At 44.2% G+C, this 11821-nt stretch overlaps 1 protein-coding gene across 3 annotated transcripts in view; it reads left to right on the top strand.

Moving 5' to 3' along the window:
* NCMAP (non-compact myelin associated protein) overlaps positions 1 to 11584 on the top strand; it is a 53242-nt gene extending 41658 nt beyond the window's left edge. For all 3 annotated transcript variants that reach the window (NM_001010980.5, XM_011541463.3, XM_005245872.4), the window contains exons 3-4: positions 3196 to 3280; positions 7862 to 11584. In NM_001010980.5, coding sequence (NP_001010980.1) covers positions 3196 to 3280; positions 7862 to 8003 — 227 coding nt within the window. In that variant the 3' untranslated portion in view covers positions 8004 to 11584. The remainder of the gene's footprint in view (positions 1 to 3195; positions 3281 to 7861) is intronic.
* Positions 11585 to 11821: the final 237 nt, after the last annotated feature.

Below are 11821 nucleotides of genomic sequence, written 5' to 3' on the forward strand. Positions count from 1 at the left end.
AGATAGGGTTACCAGATTTAGCAAATAAAAATATAGAATGCCCAGTTAAATTTGAATTTAAGATAAACAATGAATCCTTATTTAGTATGTGTCATACAATATTTGAGATGTACTTATACTAAAACGGTATCCATTGTTTGTTGAAAATTCTGATTTTATCTGGCAACCCTACCACCAGGGGCCATTTGGCATTGTCTGGAGATATCTTAGTAGTCACAGTTTGGTGGGGGTGGGGGGAACTTGGAGGCATTGCAACTGGCATCTAGTAGATAGAGGCAAGAGATAAGATTAAATATCTTGCAATGCACAGGACAGCCTCCCCGACAAAGAATTAGCCAGCTGAGGTTGAAAAACCCAGAACTAAAGTCTCCCCAAGAAGGAAAAAAACCTAAGTTGCCCCATGATGGATTTCCCGCCCTCTCTGCTTCTTCCCTTCCAGTGTTTCTTCCTATGAATATTTGCACACGGTTGTTTGCTTTTAAGTAAACTTTTTATAAGGCATTACTTACATTCAAAATGTGCATAAATCATAAGTGCCCAGCTGGGTGAATTGCCACAAAGTGAACATACCTGCGCAACCAGTCCCCAAATCAAAAAAGAGAGCCACCACCAGTATCCTAGAGGTCGTGGTTCCCCTTCTAATCACCATCCTCCACCCCCCCAAGGGGACCTGCTATTCTGACTTTTACCACCATCGATTAGTTCTGCTTGGTTTTGAACTTTATATAAATGGCCTATAGGTATACCATATGCACTCCTTCGTATCTGGCTTCTTTTGCTCTACATTATGCTTGTATGCACATATTTTAATGGTTGTAACATATACTATATAAATATATATTGGGTGGATGTATGTAATCTCTTCTATTTTCTTTTCTTTTCTTTCTTTTTTTTTTCTTTTTTGAGACACAGTCTCACTCTGCCGCCCAGGCTGGAGTACAGTGGTGCCATCTCGGCTCACTGCCTCACTGCAACCTCCACTTCCCGGGCTCAAGCGATTCTCGTGCCTCAGCCTCCTGAATAGCTGGGATTACAGGCTTGTACCACCAGGCCCAGCTAATTTTTGTATTTTTAGTAGAGACGGGGTTTCACCATGTTAGCCAGGCTGGTCTCAAACTCCTGACCTCAGGTGATCCGCCTGCCTCGGCCTCCTAGAGTGCTGGGATTACAGGCGTGAGCCACCAAACCCAGCAGTTCTTGATATTTTCAGTATCAATTCCGACAAGGATGTTGATCTTGAAGCTAAAATTGGAGGCCGGGTGTGGTGGCTCACGCCTACAATCCCAGCACTTTGGGAGGCTGAGGGGGGCAGATCACTTGAGGTCAGCAGTTCAAGACCAGCCTGGCCAACATGGTGAAACCCCGTCTCTATTAAAAATGCTAAAATTAGCCAGGTGTAATGGCAGGCACCTGTAATCCCAGCTACTCTGGAGACTGAGGCAGGAGAATCGATTGAACCCGGGAGGCAGAGGATGCAGTGAGCTGAGATCGTGCCACTGCACTCCAGCCTGGGCAACAAGAGTGAAACTCCCTCTCAAAAAAAAAAAAAAAAAACAAGAAAGAAATTAAAATTGGAGTGTGACATTGGAGCTGAGAACTAATATTGAAATTAGAGTCTAAGACATTAAACTACAAGGACATCATCACAGCCTTGTTTTTAATAGTGAAAAACTGAAAACATAAGTATTCTCAATAGAGAATTGGTGAACAGATTGTGGTACACCCAAACAATGGAGTACTATGCAGCCATGGAAAGTCATGAAGAAAAATATATAATTAAACAGAAAGATGATTATGATATTGTTATAAAACAGTATGTGAAACATGGCTCCTTTTTTTTGGTTTGTTTTTGAGAAGGAGTCTTGCTCTGTCGCCCAGGCTAGAGTGCAGTGGCACGATCTCGGCTCACTGAAACCTCTGCCTCCCGGGTTCAAGCAATTCTCCTGCCTCAGCCTCCTGAGTAGCTGGGATTACAGGCACATGCCATCACGCCCGGCTAATTTTTGTATTTTTAGTAGAGACAGGGTTTCCCCATGTTGGTCAGGCTGGTCTCGAACTCCTGACCTCGTGATCCGCCCCCCCCCCCCCCCCCCCCTTGGCCTCCCAAAGTGCTGGGATTACAGGTGTGAGCCACCACACCTGGCCATGGTTCCATTTTTATCAAGTACATATTTTTCCATATTTAGGAATATTTCCTTTAAGACAGATATTGAAACATATAAGTATTAAATTATTTAAAAACTATAACGGGTATTTTTTTTTAATTTTTTATACAGAGATAGAGTCTTGCCATCTTGCCCAGGTTGGTCTGGAATTCCTGGGCTCAAGTGATCCTCACCCCCCAGCCTCACAAAGTACTGGGATTACAGATGTGAGCCACTGCACCTAGCCAGATTTTTATTTATGTATTTATTTTTATTTTTTGAGATAGAGTCTTGCTCTGTCACCCAGGCTGGAGTGCAGTGGCACAATCTTGGCTCACTGCAGCCTCAACCTCCCAGGCTCAAGAGATCCTCCCTCCTCAGCCTCCCAAGTAGCTGGCACTACAGGTGCATGCCACCACACCTGGCTAATTTTTAATTTTTTATTTCTAGAAACAGGATCTTGCTATGTTGCCCAGGCTAGTCTCGAACTCCTGGGCTCAAGTGATCCTCCCACCCCATCCTCTCAAAGTACTGGAATTGCAGGCATGAGCCACTGCACCTGGCTGATAGATATTTACCATGCATCAACACGATCACATTGGTGAATGTAGATATGCAGACGATCAGCAGTTGTTGGGCCAGTGAGTTCTTCAACGACCCCCTCTTTTTTGCACATATTTATATTTTCAAAATTATTTTCTACAAAAATCACATGCTACTTTTGCATTATCAAAAGGAGGGGAGGGTATGTTGTTTGTTTGTTTCCCAGAAGTTTGAGGCATGCTGGAGCTGATAAGAACCAGGACTTTGCCTAAGGCAGAGTTTTGGCAGATGATGTGCTAAGGACAGGGTCCTTCAAGCGCAGCTCGGGGCAGGGGTGCACAGCCACTCCAGATGTGACTGTCCTGGGGTCAACTGGGAGTGTCCCAGGATGTTGCCTTCTCTCCTGCCTCCCTTGACCTAGTGAGGATGTCAGGTGCCACAGCAGGGCGCCCTCCTGGTCTGCGTTCAGTTTGCACATTCACGGTCTCTGCTTCTCTCCTTTCTGTAGGTTCTGGAGCCATTGTTGCTGCCGTTGTGGTGGTTGTCATCATCATCTTCACCGTGGTTCTGATCCTGCTGAAGATGTACAACAGGTACGGATGCCCTGGGCTTTGGAACTGCCTGGACGGTCCCTTCAGTGACATCAGAATAAATGGGAGGTGATATATGGGTGTCCGTCGTGTGCCTGGCAGTATCCCTCAGCCTTTAGTAAATGCTCTAACCCTTGGGGATCCTTTTTGCAGTCTGTTCTGTTGAAGGAATTTCAAAGTGACTATTTTTGTACTTGGAGAAATATTTTTTAAACGTAGTAATGATAATGACAATGATAATGGTCTTGAGCACTGTGGTAAACATTTGTTTGTAATTTACAGATAATAGAGGAATGTTCAGACCTCTTCTCTCAGAGATCTCTCTTCTAGGTTGTATGAGCTGGCCACATAAGTATTTGAGATGACAAATACTGGAAGCATGTACCCTGACTCTGCTTTCTGGAGACGTATAAGGGGAAATAAAAGAATATAATTTGATCATACAAAAAATAAATTTTATATGTTATCACCTTATGTGTAATTACCTTCAGTCACAACCTTGATGGAAGGTAATTCTTTTCAGGGAAGAAATCAAAATTAAAAAACTATAAATAAAACATATCATAGAAGACCTAGAAGCCATTTCTTTAAAAAGGTATCGTGGCCGGGTGTGGTAGTGTGGTCTGTAATCCCAGCTACTCAGAAGACTGAGGCGGGAGGATGGCTTGAGTCCAGGAGTTTGAGTCCAGCCTGGGCAACATAGCAAGACCCTGTCTATACAAATATATTTGCATATGGGCCAGGCACGGTGGCTCACGCCTGTAATCCCAGCACTTTGGGAGGCCAAGATGGGCAGATAACGAGGTCAGGAGATGGAGACCATCCTGGCTAACATGGTGAAACCCCGTCTCTACTAAAAATACGAAAAAATTAGCCGGGTGTGGCGGCGTGCGCCTGTAGTCCCAGCTACTCGGGAGGCTGAGGCAGGAGAATGGCGTGAACCTGGGAGGCGGAGCTTGCAGTGAGCCGAGATCGCGCCACTGCACTCCATGCTGGGTGACGGAGCGAAACTCCGTCTCAAAAAAAAAAAAAATCATATATATATGTATTAGAAGTGCACTGATTAATAAGGAAAGCTGTTTCCAATATATTGTCAAAGTTTACAAAACTATATATACATGGTAATCTCAATCATACACATAGGTTACCCATACACATATCCAAGGGAAAGCAACACAGCAAGGTCTTAACAACTGGTGTGTCTACATGATGGCATTGTTAGTTTTTGCTGGGAGGGGGATGTTCCTAATTTTTGAGGAATGGTAAACACGCATTGTTTTTATAAGAATATGAATATTATCCTGTAATCCCAGCACTTTGAGAGGCCGAGGCGGGCGGATCACGAGGTCAGGAGATCGAGACCACGGTGAAACCCCGTCTCTACTAAAAATACAAAAAATTAGCCGGGCGCAGTGGTGGGCGCCTGTAGTCCCAGCTACTCGGGAGGCTGAGGCAGGAGAATGGCGTGAACCCGGAAGGCGGAGCTTGCAGTGAGCGGAGATCGCGCCACAGCACTCCCGCCTGGGCGACAGAACGAGACTCCATCTCAAAAAAAAAAAAAAAAAAAAAAAGAATATGAATATTATTTATAAAGGGAGCTGCTAGGTGTGGTGGCTCTGCCTGTAACCCCAGCTAGTCAGGAGGCTGAGGCAGGAGGATCACTTGAGCCCCAGAGTTTGAGACCAGCTTGGGCAACATAGCAAGACCCTGTCTCTGGAAAAAAAAAAAAGTTTTTAAAATAAAGGTAGCTAGGCCGGGCGTGGTGGCTCACACCTGTAATCTCAGCACTTTGGGAGGCTGAGGCGGGCAGATCACGGGGTCAGGAGTTTGAACATTGTGAAACCCCATCTCTACTGAAAATACAAAAAATCAGCTGGGCATGGTGGCGGGTGCCTGTAATCCCAGCTACTTGGGAGGCTGAGGCAGGAGAATCACTTGAACCCGGGAGGCGGAGGTTGCAGTGAGCTGAGATCGCACCACTGCACTCCAGCCTGGATGACAATGTGAGACTCCATCTCAAAAAATAAACAAAATAAAATAAAATAAATAAATAATAAATAAAATAAAAGTAGCTAACATATATTGATCTCATACCACATGCCAGGCATGGTTCTAAGCTCCTTACATGTGTTAATGCATTTAATCCTCATCTAACAACCGCACGAGGTGGGTACTACTATTATCCTCAATTTTGTAGGTATAGAAACAGATACAGAAAGACTAAATCATATGCCCAAGGTTGTTCAGCCCTAATTAGCACAGTTGGGATTCAAACCTAGTTCATCTGGTTTCAAAGAAAATACTCCCACAATTACATGTAATAATAATAATAACATTAAAAAATTATTTAAAAAAAAATTTAGGATATTACAATTTGGGTCTATCCCAAACCAGGAGTGGCATCAAACCCCAATGTCTACTCTTTATTTCTCTCCATTGTTGCTGGAGCTCTGAACCTCTTTTTTAGGTCGTAATCTGAATGGAGAATCCACTCAACCCACCCTGTTTGCACTGATGCCTGAGCTGGGAAGTGAGAAACCTGGGTTCAGTAGTCTTTGGTTTGTCAAAATCAAGCAAGTTATTTAACCTCCTCCTGCCTGTATGTTGTCATGTTTAAAATGAAGAGTCTCAAAGCTTGATAATTGCATTATAGATACATTGCAGAATGTCTTTGTTCTTAGGAGTATTTAGGAGTGCAGTGGCATGATGCCTGCAACTCACAAATGGTTCACGGTTCTAAAAAACTGTGTGTGACAATAGAGAAAGAGAAAGTAATAGAGAGAAAAAAAGCAGATGTGGCAAATTGTTAGTAATTAGTCAATTGTTCTGTGAAGGGCTGTCTTAGACTATGCTGTGCTGCTATCACAGAATATCTGAGACTGGGTAAATTATACAGAAAAGAGATTTATTTCTTGCGGTTCTGGAGGCAGGGAAGTTTAAGATATTGAGGGGCCAGTATCTGGCAAGGGCCTTCTTGCTCTGTTATCCACGATAGAAGGGCAAAGAGAGAGCCAGAGAGAGCAAGAGATCAAATTCACAGCCTAAGAAGTCCTTTTATAATTGGCATTAATGGATTCATGAGGGTGGAGTCCTTATGACCTAAACTCCTCCCATTAGGCCCCAGCTTTCAATACTGTTGAATTAGGGATTAAGTTTCCAATGCAGGCTTTTTTGGGGGCCACATTCAAATTGTAACAAGAGTATTAGAGTATTAACTGTACTATTTGTGCAACTTCCCTGAAGATTTGACATTTTTAACAAATAATTATAAGGCTGGGTGCAGTGGCTCACGCCTATAATCCCGGCACCCCAGGAGGCTGAGGCAGGTGGATTGCTTGAATCCAGGAGTTCAAGACCAGCCTGGGCAACATAGTGAAACCCTGTCTCTACTAAAAATACAAAAAGTTAGCCAGGCATGGTGGTGTGCACCTGTAGTTCCACTTATTTGGGAGGCTGAGGTGGGAGAATCACCTGAGCCTGGGATGTTGAGGCTGTAGTGAGCTGAGATTGTGCCACTGCACTTCAGCCTGGGCAACCAGGGTAAGACTGTCTAAAAAAAAAAAAAAAAAAAAAAAAAAAAAAAAATATATATATATATATATATATATATATATATATATATATATATATATGTCAGCAAGATGAAATACCATGAAGACATGAGAATTCATAATTGTTGGCCAGGCATAGTGGCACACACCTGCAATCCCAGCACTTTGGGAGGCCAAGTGGGGAGGATCACTTGCCAGGAGTTCAAGACCAGCCTGGCCAACATGGTGAAACCCCATCTACACTAAAAATACAAAAATTTGGCTGGGCATGGTGGCTCATGCCTGTAATCACAGCACTTTGGGAGGCCGAAGTGGGTGGATCACCTGAGGTCAGGAGTTCGAGACCAGCCTGACCAACATGTTGAAACCCCATCTCTACTAAAAAATACAAAAATTAGCTGGGCATGGTGACAGGTGCCTGTGATCCCAGCTACTCCGGAGGCTGAGGCAGGAGAATCGCTTGAACCCAGGAGGCGGAGGTTGCAGTGAGGCAAGATCGCTCCACTGCACTCCAGCCTGGGTGACAGAGCCAGACTCTGTCTCAAAAAAAGAAAAAAAAAAAGAATTAATAATTATTGTTCATTATTGAATTTTACGGCATATTAAATGAAGCCAAGATAAATGTTTTCAGTACATTCTCTTTTCAATTATGTAAAAAGTTCTTAAATATTTCTAGCAATAAACTTAGCAAGCATAATGAGGCTGGAAAATGTAATACATGCTACAACTTTGAACATAAAAAATGTAATATCTTTATTTTTATCTTTTATATAGCCACCTCTGACATCTTACTCATTCCTTAATAGAAACAAATAAAATTAAATATCTGATCTAAGTGAAAAAATTGAAGGGCAGACTAGCTGATGCCTAAGGTCACTTCCAGTTGTAAAATTCTGTGGTGGCAAGTAAGCAATGTGATTTAATGTCTACATTAATCTACATTAATCTGTTGGCCAGAACTGTAGTCGCAGAGCCCATTCCCCGCGGCATACCAGGGGAAAGACTCAACCATGTGCACATTATCTCCCTACAGGAAAATGAGGACGAGGCGGGAACTAGAGCCCAAGGGCCCCAAGCCAACCGCCCCTTCTGCCGTGGGCCCAAACAGCAACGGCAGCCAACACCCAGCAACTGTGACCTTCAGTCCTGTTGACGTCCAGGTGGAGACGCGATGACCTCTACCCTGGCGCTATCTCCACCACTGTCCAAAGAGCCTCTCCAGAGTCAAGACCCAGAGGCACACTCTCTGGCAGCTTCACAATGAGCTTCTTCTGGTCAGGTCGACAGAGACATCTTTGACGCAATCTCTGATGCTTCCAGCAATCCTCAACCTTGTCTGCCCTGCCCTACCCCAACTGTGTCCACATCCCTGCCGCCACCCCACCAAAAAGCTGCAGAACATTCTTTTGTCATCTGATGAGGTAGAGCTATGTTGGGAATCCACCAATGTGGGCTTGGCTTTCCCCCACACTGTAGTTAGACAGATAGACAGATAGCCCAGGAGCCAGGTGTCAGGGAGCACTGCTGAGAGTATCACAATAGGATCTGTCACGGGGTTCATATCAGATGAAGCGCCGTATCCACTGCTTCACAGAGCAAAACATTCAATCCCATAACCAGGCACAGGGGAACTAACTTGGACTAACTAACCAGAAAACCTTGTTAACGTATAACTTGTTCCAGTACTACATCTCTGCCTGCTGGCTCATGACAATTGCTCAGCACATTTTCCCCTCTTGAAGAAAGGTTGCAAGAAGAACTAAATTATCCTCAAAAGATTTCTGCTTCATTAGTAAAGAGTCAGTGATGGAATAGGGTGACTCTGCAGAATAGTGGCCTCTAGGGTAGGAGCTTGTTGTGTTGTCCGTGGGCCTGGAATGATCCTGGTGGCTGATCAGGGTCCTTCTCCCACTCTGGGCTGTATCAACCCTGACGGTCTTGGTCTTTGGCTCCCCTTTATCTGGATTCTGAGCACGCTGACTGTCCTGTTAATGCCTTCCCTCCAAGGACCAGTATTTGGAGATTAATTAGATTACAACTCTATCTATGTTACCTTTGTCCTTCCTGGTCACCTTGCAGATTCAAGACATGTTCAAAGCAACACATTCACAACCCATTTCTATTCTATAGCAACCTCGTCTGTGACTCCTTAGCCTGGAGAACAATCTACCAAGAAGAGAAAGTATCTGGAATTAAGAAGTCCTACCATCCAAGCCCTACTTCCTGGTTGTGTGGCCTTGGAAAAGTGACTCAACCTCTTTATATTCAGTTTCCTAACCATGAAGTGGAAATGATAACACCTGCCTCATTGGGGCACTATAACAAGTGAAGGACTTAGGAAAACATCTGGAGTATAGCGCCTGGCACCCAGGAGATGCTTAATAAATGGGAACCAGGATTCTTTTTCTTTTCTTTTTTCTTTTCTTTTTTTTTTTTTTTTGAGACAGAGCCTCAATCTGTCACCTGGGCTGGAGTGCAGTGGCACGCTCACAGCTCGCTGCAGCCTTGAACTCCTGGGCTCAAGGGATGCTCCCTCCTCAGCCTCCAGAGTAGCTGGGACTACAGGTATGTGTCACCTCACCAGGCTAATTTTTTTATTTTTTATTTTTGTAGAGATGGGGTCTCGCTGTGTTGCCCAGGCTGGTCTTGAACCCCTGGCCTCAAGTGATCCTTCTGCTTTGGCCTCCCAAAGTGCTGGGATTACAGGCATGGACTATGGTGCCCAGCCTAGGAGCCAACATTATTATTATTATAGGCTTTTTTTTCAATTGCAAGATAGACATTTCTTCACATTTTAATGATTCTGAAATCAGAACATATCTTGCAATTGATGGGTTCATTAATATAATTGTAGTTCTTTACTTCCTCTCAAAAACTTGTGATCTTATAATTGATGGCATCTTGGAAACAAGGTAATAAATCTCTATTCTGTTAAAGAAAGTGACACACTTTGACATTTAACCTCAAATTTTAGGAGTCTCTCCCTCTTGGGGTCAGAAATCCCTTCTGAGGCCAGGTGTCGTGGCTCATGCCTGTAATCCCAGCACTTTGGGAGGCTGAGGCAGGCGGGTCACTTGAGGTCAGGAGTTTGAGACCAGCCTGGCCAACATGGCAAAACCCTGTCTCTACTAATAATACAAAATTTAGCTGGGCATGGTGGCATGCACCTGTAATCCCACTACTAGGGAGGCTGTGGCATGAGAATCACTTGAACCTGGAAGGCAGAGGTTGCAGTGAGCCAAGATCGTGCCACTGCACTCCAGCCTGGGCAACAGAGTGAAACTGCATCTCAAAAAAAGAAAAATCCATTATGAGGGGAAATCAAGAGTCAGGGAGGTAAGAGGTCTTACCCAGGGTCACACAGCTCATGATATCCCACTGTAAAAATACTCTGTGGAATAGCTCTGGAGAAATACTGGCACATTCTTCCTCTCTGGTCATTATTTCTTCCTACTGTGTTTAAATATCCACCAAGTGTCAAGGACTTTGTAAGATGCTTTCACATAAATTATCTCATAGGATTAAATTTTCCCAAAAACCTGGGGAGGAATTATTTTTTCCAAAACAGATGATAATTTCTGATTCAAAGAGAAAGAAAACAAAGTACTTTTCCAAAGTCACACAGCTAGTAAGTCACAAAGACAAGACTCAAAACCAGGTCTCTTGACTCCAAAGTCTGTCTTTTTTGTGAAGTCACACTCCTCTGCTGGCCCAGCTCAAAGCAGCACAGATTCTTTATGGGCTGAACAAGGGGAGTACGGGTTTGTCCATGTGTTTGAGTAGAGATCAGGGTTCTGGCTTCCAGGCTGAAGGTGAGGGAAAAGCCACTTCTAACTCCTTTGGGCATCCATGCTCACGGCCAAAAGAGCCCCTTCTCAACACATCCAAGTGCTAAGGATTCCTGCTTCATTCAAGCTACTACTTAGGCCCAAGGAGCAAGGGGTAGAATGGCATCTAACCAGAGCAAAGCCATTTCTTTGAGGGCTCAAGCCATAAACAAATATGCTCCCCTAAACATATTCGGCTTGAAAAAGTTGTTTTGGGGCAGCTGTGGTGGTGCACCCCTGTAATCCCAGCCCTTTGGGAGTCAGAGGCAGTCAGTCACTTGAGCCCAGGAGTTCAAGACTAGCCTGGGCAACACGGCGAAACCTCGTCTCTACAAAAAATACAAAAATTAACCAAGCGTGGTAGTGCACGCCTGTATTCCCAGCTACTTGGGAGGCTGAGGTAGGAGGATGGCTTGAGCCTGGGAGGCAGAGGTTGCAGTGAGCTGAGATCGCGCCACTGCACTCCAGCCGGGGTGACAGAGCCAGACCCTGTCTCAAAGCATATTTCAACCCTAAAACTAGACTCTTCTGCCCACAGTGCAGTCTTCTAAGGGTTACCCTCTGGTATATGTTCTTTTGCTAAATGAAGGCTTGGAGTTGGAGGGAAGAAGGGGAGATGGAGTGGTGAGGGCGAGTCAAATAAAAGGATTTGAGTGTCTCGTTTTTGACTAATGAAGATGATTCAATAAACATCCTGTAAGAAGGGTTCCTATGTGCAAGTTGAGGTGCTACTAAGTACATTAAGACACAATTGCTGCTCTCAAGGAGTTAGCAGCTGGTCTCATGCAGGGATCTCACCACGTGGTTATGTATTTTGTTTCTGATGAGGTGCCTTTCTTAGCAGATGCTGCCTTATTTGGCCACTGAAACAATCAAAGCTAATAAATGCTTAAAGAAAAATATCTGACAATAAAAAGGTTTAAATCAAATGTGTTGAGTTTATTTCAGTTAAGTTTAGAGCTAACAAATACCTTTTCTAAAATTTCCTTTCCCTGACAAAGTAAATAGAGTCCTAAGATGGCCAGGCGTGGTGGCTCATGCCTGTAATCCCAGCACTTTGGGAGGCTGAGGTGGACAGCTCACTTGAGGTTAGGAGTTTGACACCAGCCTGGCCAACATGGAGAAACCCTGTCTCTACCAAAAATACAAAAAGTAGCCAAGTGAGG

This window comes from Homo sapiens, chromosome 1 (assembly GCF_000001405.40).
Source record: "Homo sapiens chromosome 1, GRCh38.p14 Primary Assembly".
In the NCBI taxonomy this organism is placed as follows: Eukaryota; Metazoa; Chordata; class Mammalia; order Primates; family Hominidae; genus Homo; species Homo sapiens.